Source organism: Homo sapiens, chromosome 17 (assembly GCF_000001405.40).
Source record: "Homo sapiens chromosome 17, GRCh38.p14 Primary Assembly".
In the NCBI taxonomy this organism is placed as follows: domain Eukaryota; kingdom Metazoa; phylum Chordata; class Mammalia; order Primates; family Hominidae; genus Homo; species Homo sapiens.
In genome coordinates this window covers 36,982,412-37,004,386 of record NC_000017.11, presented here as the reverse complement: position 1 = coordinate 37,004,386, position 21,975 = coordinate 36,982,412, and the positions used below count along the sequence as shown (strand labels likewise).

The following is a 21,975-nucleotide window of genomic DNA, read 5'->3' as shown; positions in this document are numbered from 1 at the left end:
CAAAGCTGTCTATACTCACTGTCTCCAATTTATTTCCTCTCACTCTCTCTCTTTTTTTTCAGAGTTTAGCTCTTGTTGCCTAGGCTGGAGTGCAATGGTGCGATCTCAGCTCACTGCAACCTCCGCCTCCTGAATTCAAGCAATTCTCCTGCCTCGGCCTCCCAAGTAGCTGGGATTACAGGCGTCCGCCACCACGCCTGGCTAATTTTTTGTATTTTTAGTAGAGATGGGGTTTCACCATGTTGGCCAGGCTGGTCTTGAACTCCTGACCTCAAGTGATCCACCTGCCTCGGCCTCCCAAAGTGCTAGGATTACAGGCGGGAGCCACCAAAAAAAAGTCTGCAACCTCTACCTCCTGGGTTCAAGCGATTCTCCTGCCTCGACCTCCTGAGCAGCTGGGAGTAGAGGCACATGCCACCATGCCCTGCTAATTTTTTGTATTTTTAGTAGAGATGGGGTTTTGCCATGTTGCCCAAGGCTGTTCTCAAGCTCCTGATCTCCAGTGAACTGCCCAACTTGGCCTCCCAGAGCACTGGGATTACAGGTGTGAGCCACCATGCCCGGCCTCCTCCCATTCTCTCTTGAACCCCCTCCACCACTCTACTAAAAGAGTTCTTGTTGGTCAGACATGGTGGCTCGCACCTGTAATCCCAGCACTTTGGGAGGCTGAGGCAGTCAGATCACTTGAGATCAGGAGTGTGAGACCAGCCTGGGCAACACGGCAAAACCCCATCTCTACTAAAAATACAAAAACCAGCCGGGTGTGGTGGTGCACGCCTTTAGTTCCAGCTACTTGGGAGGCTGAGGTGGGAGGATCACTTGAGCCTGGGAGGCAGAAGTTTCAGTGAGCCCCACTGCACTCCAGCCCTGGTGACATGAGACCCTGTCTCAAAAAAAAAAAAAAAAAAAAAAAAAGTTCTTGTCAAGGTCACCAATGACTTCCACATTGCTAAACCAAGATCAATTCTCTCTCAGCCCTCATCTTACTTAATCTACCTGCAGCATGAAGATTTACTCCTGTTTTTTTTCTAAAAGTTTAATAGTTTCAGCTCTTATGTTTGGGTCTGTGATTCACTATAGTTAACTTTTGTGTAGGTGTGAGGGAAGGCTCCATCTTCATTCTTTTGCATGTGGATATCCAGTTGCTCCAACACCATTTGTTAAAAAACAAAACAAAAAACTGTTCTTCTGCCCACTGAATCGTCTTGGTACTCCTGTTGAAAATCAATGAACTATAAATGTAAAGGTTAACTTCCGGACTCTCAATTATATTCCATTGATCTATATGCCTAGCCTTATGCCAGCACCACAATGTCTTGATTATTGGAGCTTTGTGGTAAGTTTTGAAACTGGAAAGTGTGAATGCTCCAACTTTGTTTTGTTTTGTTTCCAAGATAATTTTGGCTATTTTGGGTCCTTACATTTCCATATGAATTTTAGAATCAGCTTGTTAATTTCTGCAAAAAAAAAAAAAAAAAAAAAACAGCAACAGGAATGTTGATAGGGATTGTTTTGAAGCTTTAGATCAATTTGGGGAGTACTGTCATCTTAATAATGTTAAGTCTTCTAATCCATGGACATGGGACAGCTTTCCATTTATTTAGGTCTTTAATTTCTTTCAGCAATATTTATAATGTTCAGTGTGTTAAATATTTCATCTTCTAGGTTAAGTTTATTCCTAGGTATTTTATTATTTTAGATGCTTTTTTTTTTTTGAGATGGAGTCTTGCTCTTTCACCCAGGCTGGACTGCAGTGGCGTTATCTTGGCTCACTGCAAGCTCCGCCTCCTGGGTTCACGTCATTCTCCTGCCTCAGCCTCCCAAGTAGCTGGGACTACAGGCGCCCACCACCACGGCTAATTTTTTTTTTTTTTTGTATTTTTAGTAGAGACAGGGTTTCACCGTGTTAGCCAGGATGGTCTCAATCTCCTGACCTTGTGATCTGCCCGCCTTGGCCTCCCAAAGTGCTGGGATTACAGGTGTGAGGCACCATGCCCAGCCAGATGCTATTTTAAATGGAATTATTTTTCTAATTTCCTTTTGAGGTCATTCATTGCTGGTATACAGAAACACAACTGATTTTTGTGCATTCATTTTGTATCCTACAACTTTGCTGAATTCATTTATTAATTAGCTCTAGTAGTTTTTTGGTGGCTTCTTTAGTATTTTTTTTTTTTTTTTTTTTGAGACGGAGTCTCCCTCTGTTGCCCAGACTGGAGTGCAGTGGTGCTATCATGGCTCACTGCAACCTCCACCTCCCAGGTTCAAGTGATTCTCCTGCCTCAGCCTTGCGAGTGGCTGGGATTACAGGCGTACACCACCACGCCTGGCTAATTTTTGTATTTTTAGTAGAGGCGGGGTTTCACCATGTTGGCCAGGCTGGTCTTGACTCCTGGCCTCAAGCTGATCTGACCCACTTGGCCTCCCAGTGTGCTGGGATTACAGACGTGAGCCACCGTGCCTAGCTGGTACTTTCTATATATAGGATCATATCATCTGCAAATAAAAGATAGTTTTACTTCATCCTTTCCAATTTGGATGTCTTTTCTTTTTCTTGCCTAACTGCCCTGGCTAGATAGTATGATGCTGAATAAGTGGCAAGAGCAGACATCCTTGTCTTGTTCCTAATCTCAGGAGAAAGCATTCAGTCTCTGGTCAGTGAGTATGACGTTATTTGTGGTTTTCACAGATGCTCTTTATCAGGTGAGGAAGTTTCCTTGTATCTCTAGTTTTAAAAATGTTTTTCTCATGAGAAGATGTTAAAGGCTTTTGCTGTCTCTATTGAGATGATCATGTGGTTTCTTTCCATATTCTATTGATATGTTATAATACATTAATTGATTCTTGATGTTAAACTAACCTTGCATTCCTGGGCTAAATCCTTCTTGGTCATGGTGTGTAATCCTTTTTATGTTCCTTTTTTTTTTTTTTCTTCCTTCCTTCCTTCCTTCCTTCCTTCCTTCCTTCCTTCCTTCCTTCCTCCCTCCCTCCTCCCATACCTTTTTCTCTCTCTCCCCTCTCTCTCTTTCTCCTTCCTCCCTCCCTCTCTCCTTTCTCTCTCTCTCTCTTTTCTTGGTCTTGCTCTGTTGCCCAGGCTGGAGTACAGTGCCACAGTCACAGTTCACTGCAGCCTCAACCTCCCAACCTCAAGCAGATCCTCCCACCTCAGTCTCCTGAATAGCTGGGACTACAGGCATGGACCACCATGCCTGGATAGTTTTTTTGCTTTTTATAGAGACGGGGTCTCCCTATGTTGCCTAGACTGGTCTCAAACTCCTGGGCTCAAGCAATCCTCCCACCTTGGCCTCCCAAAGTATTGGGATAACAGGCCTAAGCCACTGTGCACAGCCTGTAATTTCTTCTTTGTGATGTTTTAGTCTGGTTTGGGTATCAGGATAATACTGAATTTACCTTTTTTTTGTGGGAGGTGGGTAAGAGACAGAGTTTCCTTCTGTTAGCCAGGCTGGAGTGCGGTGGTATGATCATAGCTCACTGCAGCTTCAAACTCCTGGGCTCAAGTGATCTCCTCCTTCTTGAAACACTTTCTTTACATGCAACCTGGAAAATCACTCTTCCTTTATTCTCTCTTACATCACTGGTTGCTCCTTCTTCATCACTTTTGTTGGTCCTTCCCATCTCCCCAATCTATAAATATTTGAATGTTCCAGGACGTGGGCTTCGAATCTCTTTTTCTCTCTGCCTTCATTTTCTAGGTAATCTCATTCAATCTCATGGTATTAAATACAACCTATATGCTGAAGGCTCACAAATTTATACCTTCAGCCTGGACCTTCCCATGAACTCCAAAAATATATATATAACTCTTCAACAACTCCACATGAATGTGGCAGAAGTATCATAAACAATATAACTAATCTGTAACCAAAATAAAGCCAACATAGGTCCTAGTAACAAAAATAAAGCCAACATAGGTCCACAGGGGTTGGGAGGAGGGGGCAATATAACCAAAACCGAGCTCCTGATTTATCTTCCAAACTAGCTTCTCTCACTGTTTTTTCCCAACTCCGTAAATAGCAACTTAATCCCTCCAACTGCTCAGGCCAAAATCTTAATGGTCATTCTTGACTACTCTCTTTTGATATACCACATACAACCCATCAGCAAATCCTGTGTCAGCTCAACCTTCAACATAAATCCAGAATCCAACCAGTTCTCTCTTCCAAAACCACCCTAGTTTAAGCCACTGCCATCGCTTGCCTGGATTATCACTAGAGTCTTTTAACTGGTCCCCTGTCTGCCACCTTGCCCCCCATTCTCTCATGTCTACTCTTAACACAGCCATCAGTGATCCTTTTAAAATATGAGTCCAATCATATTACTCCTCTATATTCAAAATCCTCTGGTAGTTTCCCATCTCAGCCACATCAAAGTGCTACAGTGGCCTACAAGGTCCCACAGGACCTGGCCTCCCATTACCTCTTGACTTCCTCTCCTACCATCCTCTTTCTTGCCTACTCCCCCACCGACCCCCATGACTCTGGCCTCCCTGATTTTCCTGGAACACGCTAGCCTCCCTTTTGCCTCAGAGTCTGTGCACTTGCCATCCCCTTTGTCCCTAATGCTCTTCCCCCAGACAACTGCATGGCTCTGTTTGTCATTTCCTCAGGTCTCTTCTCAAATATCTTTATCTCCTAAACATCCTAAATTAAAACAGTAACCATCACTTCCCTATCCTAGGGCTTGCTTTCACCATAACCAGTTTCATCATTCTCTACTGCATTTGTCACAATGTAGTTCCCTGTTTCATCCTACCTCTAAGCTAGAATGAACGCTCATGAGGGCAGGAACTTTGTTTTCTTCCAGCCTCTAACAGAGCTCCAAGAGAACTTTCTGTGGTAATGGAAATGTTCTACATTTGCACTATCCAATACAATAGCAACTAGCACATGTGGTTACTTAGCACTTGAAATATAACTAGTGTGACTGAGGAGCTGAACCATTTATTTTATACTATTTAAATTAATCAAAATTTAAATCTAAACAGCCACATGCAGTTACTACATTAGACAGCACAGCCTAGGACAGTAGTTACTCAATAAATACACAGTAGATACTCAAATATTTGTTGAATGAATGAAGGAAAAAAGAAATATGACTTTTTTCCTCTTTAACTTTTTATTACAGAAATTTTCAAACATCCACAAAAGTAGACAATAGCAAAATGAACCCTCTTCTACCTATCACCAATCTGAAGATTCTTCTACCCTGAAATAAGTAACAGTGGATACCAGCAACTCCATACGGCTTCCAACAATGATTACATTCTTGGAAAATATGGAATTTGTATTATCCAATGTTTATGTCAAATAGTGCCTCGTAAGGCCTTTTACAAGTTATAGAGAAATTACTGTAGAATTAGATCAGGTGTATGTTGAGGGGTAAACCAGTAGGCTAATGAATGCTTGAGGCATGTTTGTGAGAACCCTAGAGAACCACATGTACATTTTTGTATCAAATACCTGATTGCTCTTTTCAACATTTATTTTCTCCACCTTAATTTTATTAAAGTCACACTCTTAATTTTGTGACTGCATAGATATTCACTCTTCTTAGGTAACACAAATTCTTTGGGCAGGGATTTTGGTCTTACTAGCCTTTATAAAACTAGCATCTGGCATAATAAATGTTTTTGTTGTTGTTCTTAGAGACAGGGTCTCACTATATTGTCCAGGCTGGCCTTGAACTCCTGGACTCAGGCAATCCTCCTGCCTTGGCCTCCCAAAGAGCTGGGACCATAGATGTGAGCCACTGTGCCCAGACTAATAAATGTTAACTGAATAAAGTTTATAACTGTATAAAAATGATACTTGTGAATCATCAGAGTGCTAAAAGATACAGTAGATCTCCAATGTCCTAAACAGATATAGATTTGAAAATAAAATTCTCAAAGGATTTTCAAACTTGTCCAATCAGAAGGGAGTATAATGTGTCAGAAAGAAAATCAAACTGGGAGCAAGAACACAGGTTTCAATGTCCTATTTCACTAAGTGGGTAAATCTTACAACAGTCATGTACTTCCTTCAGGCTCCATTTTCTGCACTTGTGAAAAGAGAGTTTGGACTTGATGGTCTCCAAAGACGCTATCCAACTTTAAAATGATTATGTTTTTATCTAGATCAACAATACATATACATTTTTTTTTTCCATAAGTTACTGGGTTACAGGTGGTATTTGGTTACATGGCTAAGTTCTTTAGTGGTGATTTGTGAGATTTTGGTGCACCCACCACCCAAGCAGTAGATACTGCACCATATTTGTAGTCTTGTATCCCTTGCCCCTCTTCCACTCTTCCCCCACGAGTCCCCAAAGTCCATTGTATCATTCTTATGCCTTTGTGTCCTCATAGCTTAGCTCCCACATACCCATGGGAACATATGATGTTTGTTTTCCATTCCTGAGTTACTTCACTTAGAGTAATAGTCTCCAATCTCATCCAGGTCACTGCAAATGCTGTTAATTCATTCCTTTTTATGGTTCTGTAGTATTCCATCATATAGATATACCACAGTTTCTTTATCCACTCGTTGATTGATGGGCATTTGGGTTGGCTCCATGATTTTGCAATTGTGAATTGTTCTGCTATAAACATGTATCTGCAAGTATCTTTTTCAAATAATGACTTCTTTTCCTCTGGGTAGATACCCAGTAGTGAGATTGCTGGATCAAATGGTAGTTCTATTTTTAGTTCTTTAAGGAATCTCCACACTGTTTTCCACAGTGGCTGTACTAGTTAACATTCCCATCAGCAGTATGGAAGTGTTCCCTGTTCACTACATCCACACCAGCATCTACTGTTTTTTGATTTTTTTATTATGGCCATTCTTGCAGGAGTAAGGTGGTATCGCATTGTGCTTTCGATTTGCATTTCCCTGATCATTAGCGATGCTGAGTATGTTTTCATGTTTGTTGGCCATTTGTATATCTTCTTTGGAGAATTTTCTATTCATGTCCTTAGCCCACTTTTTGATGGGATTGTTTTTTTCTTACTGATTTGAGTTTGCAGTAGATGCTGGATATCAGTCCTTTGTCAGATGTATAGAGTGTGAAGATTTTCTCACAATACATATACATATTTGAAGATGCCTATAAACTTCCCCTTTCTTTGCTAAATCATTTTTCCGATATGTTACTTTTAAAGGAGCAACACATTAATACCAAGACCTCATGCCTACTTTAGTGAAGAGGTAATGTCTCCATTTCTTGAGGAGTGCCAAACTCTATACTTGAGGCTACTAAAATACTGCTGGGATCCTGTGTTTAATTTACACTCAGTTGGCTGACACTGGGCATATTAGTACAAAAAGGGTAATTTTGGCCACATATTTGCCTAGCAAACTCTCCAGGTACCATTTGTGTTTGAAAAAGTTTCTTCAACACTTCTAAGCCAATTCTTATCTCTTTCCCAGCTGGCCCTGTAAAATGTACTGTTTTAGGCTTCGTTCTGAGGTTTTACCTTTGTTTAAACGAAGTAGTAGTACTCAAGTCATGCTCTGATGTTTTTTAAAGCAAGAAACCTGAAAGAAATGAGGGCCAGTCATGTGCACCTTACCTTGACGCTCCTGTTTGATGAAATTTCTAGACTTCGCATTTAAAAATGTGGCTTTTGCTTCCTGTTCTGTGCAGCTTCCACAACAGTGAGCCCAAGCTAGCAACCAAATGCTAATATTGATGACATACCTGGGTCTAAACATTGACAGATATACAATGGCAGCACTTTTGGTGGAAAATGTCTTAAAGAAGCAGAAACTACCATGCAGTTCCAATAACATTCTTACACATGGTATACAAAATAATCTTGCAGTTATTAAAACTGAAATTTAATTGGGCCCTGGTATTTGCTTTGAGTTGTTTTTAATACCATTACTATGCCCCAAGAAACCTAATTCCATGCTATATCTTCAATCATAATTTCAATTTTTAATTTTTATTTCATTTGTTTATTTATTCTCTGTCGCCCAGGCTGGAGTGTAGTGATGCGATCTTGGCTCACCGTAGCTTCGACCTCCTGGTCTCAGATGATTTTCCCACCTCAGTCTCCAAGTAGCTGAGATTACAGGCAAGTGCCATCACATCTGACTCATTTTTTTTGCATTTTTTGTAGAGACGGAGTTTCGCCATGTTGCCCAGGCTAGTCTCAAACTCCTGGGCTCAAGTCATTCACCCACTTTGGCCTCCCAAAGTGCTGAGATTACAGGTGTGAGCCACCATGCCTGGCCAATTTTAAAATTTATGTACTTCATACATATGTTCTCTCTAAAATAACCGTAAATATCTATGCGTAATAAGTTTCATCAAACTTTTAAGAAACACTATCCAGATCTCAAATAACAGCAACATTTTAAAGTAAAACTAAAAACAAAATACTGCCCTGAACAGAAGACATGAGTCCAACAACTCATTCACAGAGGCAGGTTCAAATCAGACTTAAAAACATGTTATTAACCATCAGTTGAACCACTGGAAAGATATATGCCAATAGTAAGAATATCATCCTGCCAGGCTGGGTGCCGTGGCTCACACCTGTAATCTTAGCACTTTGGGAGGCTAAGGTGGGCAAACTGCTTGAGCCCAGGAGTTCAAGACCAGCCTGGGCAACACAGCAAAACCCCGTCTCTACAAAAAATATGAAAATTAGCTGGGTGTGATGGTACCTGTCTATAGTCCCAGCTACTTGGGAGGCTGAGGTGGGAGGATTGCTTGAGCCCAGGAGGTCGAGGTCACAGTGAGCTGAGATCGCACCACTGCACTCCAGCCTGGGCAACAGAGTGAGATCCTGTCTCAAAAACAAACAAACAAACAAAATAAATCGATAAATAAAAACAACAAATATATAAAAAATATCATATCACCATTAACATAAGGGTAGCTTGGGACACCTCTTATTCACACTAAGATCTAAATGCATACAATTCTACCACATCACCTGTCCATATTAATCGCTCACCAATTTAATTAAACTGTCATGTCAAAAAGCCTGCCTCTTCTCTATTTCTCAACATTATCGACTTTTAATAGTTCACTGAATTAGTAATTACCTGTTTATGGCATTATCAAATGTCTTAGACACAAAAATTCAGCATGTGGCAAGGTCAGTTATAGACATGTCCTGATGGCAAATGAAAGAAGAAATTTAACCCGTCAAAGTGGTCATCAAAAGAGCAAAACCTATTATGCCGTTCTCTAGATACTCTTGGCTAGAGTCAAAGTGACAGGACAAACCAGATCAAAACTAAACAGAGCTAGAAGCAACATACAAAACCCTAATGAACTCTTAGAAATCCAGGTATTGATCTGTCAACATCTAAGCTCAATTAGTCCTTTCAGAACAAAATATCGCATGAAGTGACAAGAAACTAGTTTGCGATCTGGGATATGAAAAGAAGAAAACCAGCCACTTTATATAGCTTATTGCTAAGTGCAGTTACATCACAATACGAGGATCTTGTGAGGATTAAATCAAGACACATGCCAAGTACCTATCTACTTAGTCCAGGGACTGGCACGCCACTAGTGTTTAGCAAATCCTGGTCCTTCCCTGATTCTTTAAAAACTTAGGCTTATCAAGTCAAAGATCATCTGATGGTTTAAAAAAATAAAACAAAACAAAAGCCTTAAATGGTGATACAGACAACAGATCTGAAGAGAACTGAATGTTATGAAGTAGCAGATAGGATCATGACATAACAAACAGACACTGAAAATATTTCTGAATGGCTCATCCTTCGTGGTCATTTACAACCTTCATGTTTTGTGAAACTGCCTTTAGGAATGCGCTTTGACAAGAAATAGGCCAACTGTAAAGTAATTCTGTTTGGAAGTAAAATCCTGCAATGCTTTTCTGAAGCAGATGAACAGTTTCTCTCATAAAACCTTCACCATTGGCTATACTTCATGCTTTCAGCAATTCCAGTTTCCAAACAAACCGGTAACAAAACTATAAAGCTAATTTTTTCATTAGAATTGTTTAAGTAACAAAAGCTCAATAAATCATTTGCCTTCTAAGGAAAAAAATTACTTTCTAACACAAAATACTTTTTCTGGTTCTATGAAAATAAAGCTTATTTATTTACAAAGTGAAAACTGTAATACTACAGTGAAATCTCTTTATGGCTCAAGAATGAAATATTTAAGAAATAAAGGTATGGACAGAGCAAGACTTGGTCTAAGAAGTCCTGACATTAACTACCAGTGTTGCCATTTACTATATGATGTCAGACGGTTACTTAACTTCTCAGGGTGTCAGTTTCTTCTAAGGTTCTTTTCAGCTCTAAAAATGATAAGATTATTTATGATATCAGATACTATCTTCTATGGCCCACACACATACATATGTATGTATGTACACACACATATACATACATATATACATGTACCTTTATTAAATAATACAAGTATATTTTGAAAGATATGGTAACTTAAAGCCCATTAAGAAACAAAGAATGAAAGTGTGAATGAGTATGTGTGTGTAGAGGGGGAGTGTTCTGAGCCCACACATCATTCTCAGTAGTTAGGGCATTCACACAGCTTCAAGACACCTGAATTAACCAAGTAAGCCTTTAAACCCTTACAATGGAACATTAAAATTCAATGTGGCTATAATCTCTTCCTTACAAAACATGAACCCAAAGAGTCTGGCTTCAAGTATGGTTTTAAAAAAGGGGGAATGTATTATATTCACCACCCAGCTCTTCCATATGACCATGTTAAAAAAAACCACACAAATGAAAACTCACAGGCCCATTGTAATATATTGAACCACTTCTGAATGCAACACTTAGCTCAGGCTTACTACTCTGACAAATAAAGGAAAGCACTTTATGAAGCCAATTTAATTGGGAAGTGACAGAAAACATACAGCCATTTTCTTTAGCCTTATCACTGAATTGGCTTCAGCTCCAATCTCTGGCAAATCCCACTCAACAGAAGAAATTAACCAGGTCAGCAGAACAGGTGCTACCTTGTGTCTGTCAAGGGCCTGGCATCACCACAATTACTTGCACACAATGAAGCAGTAATCTTTACAGATCATCTCTCCCAAGAAGCATATTTGGGAGGGGGAGGAAAACTGAAGGGTGAGGGGAGTGGGAAGAAGAAGGGGAATGGGAAGCAAAGAGAAAAGGCAAGAAAAGAAAATGAATGTGCAGCTGCCTTGCAGCTCAGCAGATGTCGGAATGTGATGTACGAGGCTAGGATAAGCTGTCGTAGCCCGCTGCCAAAGAGTGGTAAGTGATTAAAACCTGCACAGTTCTAAGCACCATATTTAGAATCTGCAGGGTTTCAAGACTTGCACCCATTCCTTGCTGTGCTGCCAGATGTTGGCAACTGGTCCAGTTCCTACTGACTGTGCATGGATGGCAGCAGTTGGTGTAGCAGCAAAGCAATCTGGAATGCTTCCGGAGATGCTGTACATTAACAAGTGTCACCCATCATTCACCTTTACAGAAGGCTGAAACAACTCCAATTTGCTGCCACTTCCCTCTTGGGAAACAGCCAAGATAAAGTTGTGCCTGGCAGCCCCATTTGTTTCACTCAGGTGTTTTAGCTGCCTTGCTGACCTCTATTAGTTTAAGTTTTAATTTAGATTAACCCCAGCACCCCAATTAACCAGCAAGGGGAAAAGCTAAGATGTGACTAGTCATAACTCTGAAATCAGAATTTATCGAAGTTAAAATTATTAATTGGGATGAAGGGCCAATCAAGTAATGCTATTTCTTTTTAAACAGACCTCCAGGCAAAAAAAAAAAAAAAAAATTCAGACTAAGGATTGCCAACAGAGGCAACTTCTCCCCAGTAATTTCACTTTATTTTATTAAGCCTATTTAATTTATGATGCACTTTTCATCGAACAATGTACACTTCAATTAATGAGGACTGGAACATTTTTGATTGTCTCCCGTGATCTCACACAATTATACAGCATTAATATCCCATATCAGGTACTTCCTTAGACACTCTAGAACAAAATAGAGTTCCTTACTCTTCTGACAAATGAATATAATAAGAGAAGAGGAAAAAAGAATCAGGACCTCTGACAGGGAACAGCTGCAGCCACACCAATCTTTTTTTCCTATACCCTCTAGTCATTACTTTTAAGACTTACTTATGGCAATAATTTTATCAAACATTATAGAATGAATAAAAAAAATTAATAGAAAGTCTCTTTCTCTTTTTAGGGCAAGACCAGAGGTATCCCCAATATAAAATCACTTGTTCTATATTGACTTTACATGTAATTTTCCTAAGAAGTTCTTCTTCATATCCATATACACAGTACAGCAGTCATGGCTAAACCCTCAACAAGCAGTCGCAAATTACTTGGCTAAAGCTAGCACATTAAAAATTTGACAGAGAAAAAAATTATCTTGATAAACAATGGCTCAACAATAACTGGTATATCACTGCTGAACAGCTTCCTCTATTCTCCACTAAGCTAGAAAGGGTACAGCCAAACACACACTCTATTAAGAAGTATAATTTGTCTGGCCGGGTGCAGTGGCTCAAGCCTGTAATCCCAGCACTTTGGGAGGCTGAGGCAGGGAGATCACGAGGTCAGGAAATTGAGACCCTCCTGGCTAACACGGTGAAACCCCGTCTCTACTAAAAATACAAAAAATTAGCCAGGCCTGGTGGCGGGCGCCTGTAGTCCCAGCTACTCGGGAGGCTGAGGCAGGAGAATGGCGTGAACCCAGAAGGCAGAGCTTGCAGTGAGCCGAGATTGCGCCACTGCACTCCAGCCTGGGTGACAGAGCGAGACTCCATCTCAAAAAAAAAAAAAAAAGTATAACTTATCAAGAGACTCAGGAATACAGGAAGTTATTTCAGTTCTCTAGAACAGCCCAAATGTTTAGTCTATCTTAACAGTCTCTGGCATCATTAAAAAGAACAGCATGCCAGCAGAGAGTAATGTCAGGGAAAGAAGTGGGGGAGTCTGAAAACATATTGAGAACTGGACTATATTTCAACTTCTACCAATTCTCTCTGTCTTCAAAAGCACTATGCTCTTATTATAATCAACAGTTGCAGACATTCTCAATACATACTTAACTGACTTCGACAGGCACAAAAAGACATTAAGAACAAGATTTAACAGATAATAGGATCAGTAGCGCAATTCAGGAACTCTGGGATCCCAGCCCTCCAGCTCCACGGCCCATTCTAATAGTAATGAGACAAGAAACCAAATAACTTAACAAATCCTCCATCATCAAAAATGGCTCAGAAAGAACCCACTTGACTCAGAGAAAAAAACCTGAAACTGTTTTACAGCTAATTTACACTCAAGCAACAACAAAGTAGCTATAGCTGTTTTCATTTCAAAAGGAAAACATAAAATAGAAGAAAAGCAACAAATCCACAATGACACTGTAAGTCAATTTTGAACGCGGGAGTTCTAACTCACTGTCTGACTCTATCCTTCCAAAATAAGCAACTTCTTTGTTCAGAGAATTCTATAAGCTGCTTTAAAATGCTAAAACATGATTTGTAACAAGAGAGTGTAAAAGTCTCACCTGGTGGTAAAAGTCATCATCATCAAAGATTTCTTCATCCAAGTCCTTCAGATGAGCATTAGCAGGGGCTTGAGGAAGGATCTCCTATGTTAACAATGAGTAAGAAAAGAGTGAATCCCAACAAGGCTATCTAACTAATGTAGCTACTATAAATAATATGTAGAACAGTCAAAGCACTGTTTTCCTTAAGATATAAAAAGTTCTTAAAATTAAAAAACAAAACAGTCCAATATGAAAACAGGCAAAAACATTAACAGGCAGTTGACCAAAAAAACCCATAAATAATCATATGAAAATATGTTTACCCTCATTCAAATTAAATATGTGTAAATTAGAATTAGAAGATACCATTTTTCACCTCTACGACTGAAATTAATGCAGCCTTTTTGGAGGCAATTTGGCAACATCTATCAGAATTTGGTGTATTTTCTTTAACACTTCCACTTCAAGAAATCTACCCATATATTTATACGAACACATAATACATGTACAGGAATCTTTCCTGTAGCAGTGTTTCTGAAACTGGAGACAACATAATATCCATTGTTTGCATAAATGATAGTGCATATCCATACAATGGAATACTTTGAGGTCATTAGGAAAAATGAGGTAGCTCTCTAGGTAATGAAATGGAAAGAGTATCTAGGACTTATTAGATTTTAAAAGTTGCAAGACTTTAAATACAGTTGTAATATTTTACATATTTATACTACATAAATGTCTCTCATTTAGTAAAAAAGGCAACCATATTTATACATATATATTTGTTATTTGCACACATATATAGTTACACAAATAGAAAAGACCCAAAAACTTGTTACAACTATTAATTATTAACTGTAAACTTGTTACAACTATTAAATACTGAAAATTTCACCTCAGGAGTTACGTTAACAGGCAATTGACAAAAAAAATAAAAAAATTTCACCTCAGGAGTGAAATTTTCAGAGTAGAGAATTTTGCTTTTCATTTTAAGTTGCTATAAACTAAAAAAGGATTAAGTATATATTTCTTCCATAATTAAAAAATTTTAAATGTTTCCTTTAAACAAAAGAATTTGACTATTCCACTTCTGCACCCTTTCTAAAGTACCTAAATGGCAAACGTTGAGCCTAAAGTACACACTTGTTTCAATACTGACATTTCTACAGAAGTAGCTTTAAAACTGAATTTTGAAAATTGGATTATGAATGCTTCTACTACCAGACTCCTGCATCAAACTCAAAATTAAGAGAAGATGACACACAGGAGTTAATAGAAGCCCCATTTTTAAAAACTCTCTCCTCTCACATACACTCAAGTTTCTCTCAGTAATCCAGTAAAGTAGTGTTGCTTTCCTTTCTCTCACTAACCTCTTATATAAACAGGTAATAGCTACAAGTTTTTCAGCTAATAAGCCTCATAGAAACTATTCCCCATAATCACTCTGCATTACAGAGTTCTTACCGGTTCCCCTGGCAAACTCTCTGGGACAGGCTGAGCTGCTGGCTCAGGTTTGCCAAGAACTCGATAGACAGAGCGCTTGGTCTGTGTCCTTCGAAGTAATCTCTCTTTGTCCATCAGAATATGGTCGATCTGAGTCAAGATTGAGCGTTCAAAGGCACCAAAACCCTGCAACAACATTAAGCAGTGTCAGATAATGCAGAAAATCAGTGCTGAAGGCAAGCTACATTGGTTTCTCTATCTTTCTGTGTCAGCAGAGAGATAGAAAATCATCTTTTCAGGAGGGACTTTCTGTAAAGGACTGAGTTTGTGAGTGGCTATAATTGTTCTTAAAAAAAAAAAGTTAGTCTTAAGCAGGTCATATCATTTTTCTACACACGGAGATTAGCTTCTGATACTTTAATAATTATTGCTTTGAAATCCACTCCTTTAAAGTATTTGGATTTTCAGCACTTGAACACTTACAAGGCCTCAATTTTAAGAATAAAACATTCTTTCTAATAAAGTTAAAATCCCAAGTCTGAATCGTATAAACCCCAGTGCCAGAAGTTCAGTAGATTTTGCTATAGAAATGAATGATTACCATTACATCGTGACAACATCCATATAAATGAGCTGTAGTTCCAATTTCTTAAAACTTCTTCAAGTTGCCACAACCTATCTTACACATACATGCGCGCATACACACACTTGCCTTCCCCAGTTTTCCAGAAGCCAGTTTGGTCTTATCGTGCCATTTCTGAAGTGTGCGGTTCCTGTAGACTGTAAAGTCGGCAAAGCGCTTTGCCATGAAGCTGGGATAGTCCTCCATCTCCAGCTTCCTCTTTGCAGGGACCCTTCTTCGTTGCTGCTTCTTCTCTTCTACCAGCTCATCATCTTCACTAGAAATCTCCTCACTAGAAAAGCAGTAAGAATATTATGTCCAGTGTAAACAAACATTACTTAGATTTTAAAAACTAGGCTCACATAAAGGACTGAGAATATTTAGGCCTTACCTGTTCTGTCTCCATTCAAAATAACACCAAAGATATAAGGATGGCTTTTGCTCTTTGAGAAGAATATTCATGAGATCAATCAAAAACTCGTGTAACTTTTTTTTTTGAGACAGTCTTGCTCTGTTGCCCAGGCTGGAGTGCAGTGGCGCGATCTTGGCTCACTGCAACCTCCACTTCTGGGTTCAAGCAATTCTCATGCCTCAGCCTCATGGGTAGCTGGGATTACAGGTGTGTGCAACCATGCCCGACTAATTTTTTTCATATTTTTAGTAAAGATGGTGTTTCACTATGTTGGCCAAGCTGGTTTCAAACTCCTGGCCTCCAGTGATCCACCTGCCTCGGCCTCCCAAAGTGCTGGGATTACAGGGCATGAGCCACCACACCCAGCCTCATGTAACTTTTAAAACAAATATAAAAAGAACTAGTTTCAAAATATTTTTTAAAAGGTAAGTAAACCATAAAAATAAATGAGGTTTTAAAAGAATTATTAGAAATGTGTATGAACCAGGCCTGCAGTATTATAGGACAGTATTTAAAAATTAAACACATAACCATATTTCTACGACCTTAATCCTCAAATCAATAAGGGAAATGTGTCTCTCTGTAACCAACTGTTAAGGAAAGATGAATAATATTAGTTGAACCAAATACAAGAGAAGCTGAATGTGAAGAAAACTCAAAGCGGTAGGCAACAATTAGCACTAACTAACCTGCAGTGCCATCTATGCAACTGCCATGGCAATGTAATACAACCTCCAACTATCTGCCAGTTGCACTCACTGGATTACTGACCTCAACATATAATAGGTGCTCAATAAATGTGAGTTTCCTTTTTGTCCTCCCAACTAGTTCAGTAGATAAAAAGTGAAACAAAAGATAAGCTCGAGGGAAAAAAAGCAAGCAGGTATATACAGCAGGTGTAAACAAAAGGGGGAAAAATCTTCATCAAATGTAATAATTTCAGGGGGAAAAAATAATTATTTTGCTGTTTTCTGAAATTTTTCCATCTTTCATAATAACAGCTTTTATTCAAAGGAGATGGCTGTGACCAGTGATTCCAATATATGGTATGGGCACAGAATGTTTCATAAACATTAATTAAGCATTAATATTTTAAAAATGTGCTTTTGGCCAGGTGAAGTGGCCCATGCTTATAATTCCAGCACTTTGGGAGGCTGAGGTGGAAGGATGGCTCGAGCCCAGGAGTTTGAGACCAGATAGGGAAACACAGCAAGACCCTGTCTCTACAAAAAAAAAAAAAAAAAATAGCCAGGCATGGTGGCAAGTGCCTGCAGTCCCAGCTATTTGGGAGGCTGAAGCAGGAGGACCGCTTAAGCCCAGGAGTTTGAGGCTGCAGTGAGCTGCGATCACATCACTGCACTCCAGCCTGGATGACAGTGTAAGACCCCATCTCTAAAAAACAAAGTGCTTTTATCTTCTAATTCCAATAGATCTAAAGAGAAGGCAAGCCTTTGTCTAAGACCGCAAAGCACATCAGGTACAACTAAATATAAAAATCTAAAATCTAATCACCAACTTATGTGCCATCCTGACCATCAGGTAAATATGAGACTCTATTTTACTAACATTAATATCTGCCTGAAGAGAACTTAGCTTTTCTTTCATAAATGATGGGAAACTATCCAAATGAAAAGAAAATAAGCAACTCCATGATTCTGTTCTCTTACCTTCCCGCATTGGGCTTTGTCCCATCTACTAGATATCTAGTGTCTGGGTACTGGAAAAGCAACTCTTCCTGAAGACCTACCAATGACCTCAACAATGCTTTAAGTGCCTTGTGACCTGGGAAATAAAGGACAGAGAAAGGACAATTAATTATCTACAATTCTCCAAAGTAGGTGATGCCTATAACTCATGACTCCTGAGCAGTTCTGGCTGTGGGGAGTGAAGGGGAGGCACAGGATACACACAGGAACTAAATACTCTCTGAAATATTCCCAAATGGAAATAACAACGTTGCCTACCTCACAGGATTGTTGTGAGGAACAAGCAAGATCATGCATGTAAGGTGCTTAGAAAAGTGTCTGCAAAGAGTAAGAGTCCAATACATTGTCAGCTCTTAAATGTATTAAGCTTGACAAACTCCTCCCCGGCCTCTCATTATAACCATTAATTTGTTCCGTTGGTGTTAAGTTTCTTAGGTATCTTCCTACAGGTTACCTGCTGACCTCCTGGACTATTCCTTATCAGTCAGCTCCTTGAGCACTTCCTTCTCTTCTCCTAAAGAGTAGGACTTTGTCTAGGCATCCCCACCACCAACACCTTCCACCTTGCCCCCAGGAGATCTCATGTGCCTCTGGTTTGAGCTGCCACATCCTTCACTCCATCTCTCAACACATATCCTTATGGAAAAGTTCCTGTTCACATACGAAAACCCAAGCTAATGAATCACTTTCTATTTGCAGTATTGAATTGTATATTAAAAATTTGGGCATTGAGAATATATTCTCACCTGGTTCTCCTTGGAGCCAATAAGATGCATATGTAATAGAGCTGGTCAAGATGATGTATATAGTCTACGGATAAAAACTTTCAGAATAAAAACTGGTCGGCCGGGCGCTGTGGCTCACGCCTGTAATCCCAACACTTTGGGAGGCCGAGACGGGTGGATCACAAGGTCAGGAGTTTGAGACCAGCCTAGCCAACATGGTGAAACCCCATCTCTACTAAAAAAAAAATACAAAAAAATTAGCTGAGGGTGGTGGTGGGTGGCTGTAATCCCAGCTACTTGGGAGGCTGAGGCTGGAGAATTGCTTAAACCCAGGAGGCGGAGGTTGCAGTGAGTCAAGATCATGCCACTGCACTCTGGCCTGGACGACAGAGCAAGATTCTGTCTGGAAAAAACAAAACAAAAAAAACTGGTCCTCGGGGAGGACTGCTTGAGTCCAGGAGTTTCAAGACCAGCCTCAGCAACACAGTGAGACCCCGGCTCTAACCAAAAAAAAAAAAAAAAAAATTTAGCCAGGCATGGTGGTGCGTACCTGTAGTTCCAGCTACTTGGTGGAGGGGCCCTGAGGTGGGAGGATGGCTTGAGCCCAGGAGGCTGAGGCTGCGGTGAGCAGTGATCACTCCACGGCACTCCAGCCTGAGCAATAGAGTGAAGGTGAGACCCTGTCTCCAAAAAAAACCACACACACTGAACAAACCTCATCCTCAGCCAGGGGCAGTGCTTATGCCTATAATCTCAGAACTTTGGAGGCCAGGTGCAGTGGCTCATGCCTGTAATCCCAGCACTTTGGGAGGCGGAGGCGGGTGGATCATCTAAGGTCAGGAGATCGAGACCAGCCTGGCCAACATGGCGAAACCCCGTCTGTACTAAAAGTATAAAAATTAGCCGCGCACGGTGGTGTGCACCTGTAATCCCAGCTACTCAGGAGGCTGAGGCAGGAGAATTGCTTGAACCTGGGAGGCAGAGGTTGCAGTGAGCTGAGACTGTGCCACTTTACTCCAGCCCGGGCGACAGAGTGAGACTCTGTCTCAAAAAAAAAAAAAAAAAACTGTGGGAGGCCAGGACGGGATGATTGCTTGGGCACAGGAGTTTGAGTCCAGCCTGCTGAACACAGTAAGACCCCAGCTCTACAAAATTTTTTTTAAAAACTAGCCGGTTTTGATGGTGCGCACTATAGTCCCAACTACTTGGGAGGCTGAGATGGGAGGATTGCTGGAGCCCAGGAGTTTGAAGTTACAGTGAACTACAATTATGCCACTACACTCCAGCCTGGGCAACAGAGCGAGACGCTGTCTCCAAAATCTCCCCGCAAAAAACAAAACTGGTCCTCTGACAACAGAATTCTTACCTTCTCTATTAGAATAACCCTACTCAAGGGGCTAACTAGACACTGAGAGTCACCATTTATGTGTTGAAAGTACTCAGACACCTCTCCTATAATCAAACTCTCACATTTCCAGTGACTGCCAGAAAATCTTCATGTGGTTGTTCCATCACTCCTTCACACATACTGTGTCAGAAACAGAACTTTTTTCTTCCTGCTTAATACCTCTCCCTGTCTGAACCTCTCTGCATTGTTCAATGTGTTTTCATAGATCACTCACATTTGGGTGCTCTTATTCTAGATGTTTAACTGGTTGCTGAATTCTGTGTTTTCCATTCTTACTGTCACTAATAATTGCCCATTTATCTCTGGCCATGCTTCTATCACTCCTTCCATTTTTCACTTAGTAACTGTAGTCTCACAAGCATCCCTACTTCCGTTCAACAATCCCGACATTCATATATTTACATTTCACACAAACTGTAGCCCACACAAACTTAGGTTAAATGATTTTTATGTCTTATTCTTTCTTTTCTGCTTCTGCTTCTACCCTGTCCAGCATGAGCAGACTTCTCACTAGTTTATATCCCAACTTTTTCCATCAGTAGGACACCAATACATGAGTTAGACAAGTTCTCCATATATTTCATACTATAGCATTCTATTTCAATGTCAGGCCTGAGAGCCAACCTACCTGAGAGAGCCATCTCAGACTAGTCAGAAAGAACTCAATGGTCCAATAACTACTTTGCATTCCTTCAAATAATCTGCATATCAAACTATATAAATACAACTTCCTTGTTTAAAATAAGGTCTTTGATTACATCATTTCTAAATTCTGTAATCCTTTATAATCTGCATATCATACCACTTGGGAGAATTTGTAATACATAACTATCACCAAAAAAACTCAAAATGCCTTTGTTCCAAACCAAGATTCTTAACCAGTTGCTCTCTGTCTTAAGAAAAAAATCAGTCTGGGCACAGTGGCTCACACCTGTAATCCCAGCACTTTGGGAGGACGAGGTCGGCAAATCACTTGAGGTCAGGAGTTCAAGACCTGCCTGGCCAACATGGTGAAACCCTGTCTCTACTAAAAATACAAAAAAAATCAGCCGGGTATGGTGGCGCATGCCTGTAGTCTCAGCTACTCGGGAGGCTGAGGCAGGAGAATCACTTGGACCCGTGAGGTGGAGGTTGCAGTGAGCCAAGACTGCACCACTGCACTCCAGTCTGGGCGACAGAGTGAGACTCCATCTCAAAAACAAAAACAAAAAAACTAAGGCCTGATGTGGTGGCTCACACCTGTAATCACAGCACTCTGGGAGGCTGAGGTGGATAAACTGCTTGAGACCAGGAGTTCAAGACCAGCCCGGACAATGTAGGAAGACCCTGTCTCTACAAAAAAATACAAAAATTAGCCAGGTATGGCAGCGTACACCAGTAGTCCTAGCTACTTGGGAGGCTGAGGTGGGAGGATCCCTTAAGCCTAGGTGGTTGAGGCTGCAGTGAGCTGTGATCACGCCACTGTACTCCAGCTTGGGTGATAGAACAACATGCTGTCTCTAACAATAAAATTTTTAAAAATTAAAAAAAAAGAAACACTAAAAAAAATTTTCCCAGAAGGGACTTTAAAATAATTAGGCTAAGTGAAATAAGCCAGTTGCAAAAGGAAAAATATTGTATAATTCCAGTTACATGAGGTACCTAAAATCATTAAATTCATAGAGACAGAAAGTCCAATAGTAGTTACCAGGGGCTGAGAAGAGGGAAATGGAGAATTACTGTTTAATGATACAGAGTTTCAGTTTGGGATCATGAAAAGGTTCTGGAGGTGGATGGTGGTGACGGTTGCACAACAATGTGAATGTCCTTAATGACAATGAACTGTCCACTTAAAATGATAAGCTTTATGTCATGTATATTTTACCACCATTAAAACAAACAAACAAAAAAAACAACAAAAAAACACTGGGCTGGGCGCGGTGGCTCACGCCTGTAATCCCAGTACTTTGGGAGGCTGAGACGGGTGGTCACGAGGTCAGGAGATGGAGACCATCATGGCTAACACCATGAAACCCCATCTCTACTAAAAATACAAAAAATTAGCTGGGCGTGGTGGCACGTGCCTGTAGTCCCAGCTGCTCGGGCAGCTGAGGTGGAAGGATTTCCTGAACCCGGGACGGGGAGGTTGCAGTGAGCCAAGATTGTACC

The 21,975-nt window shown here is 40.3% G+C and overlaps 1 protein-coding gene across 3 annotated transcripts in view; it reads right to left on the bottom strand.

The window, feature by feature from the left end:
• The window catches only part of AATF (apoptosis antagonizing transcription factor), a 107,918-nt gene that overhangs the window by 52,485 nt on the left and 33,458 nt on the right, over positions 1–21,975 (bottom strand). For 2 of the 3 annotated variants that reach the window (NM_012138.4, NM_001411094.1), the window contains exons 5-8: positions 17,656–17,770; positions 15,667–15,868; positions 14,976–15,140; positions 13,530–13,613 (exon numbers count right to left, since the gene is read on the bottom strand). In NM_012138.4, coding sequence (NP_036270.1) covers positions 13,530–13,613; positions 14,976–15,140; positions 15,667–15,868; positions 17,656–17,770 — 566 coding nt within the window. Of the gene's footprint in view, positions 1–13,529; positions 13,614–14,975; positions 15,141–15,666; positions 15,869–17,655; positions 17,771–21,975 lie in introns of those variants that run through there. The other variant, XM_047435748.1, reaches the window with a different exon arrangement.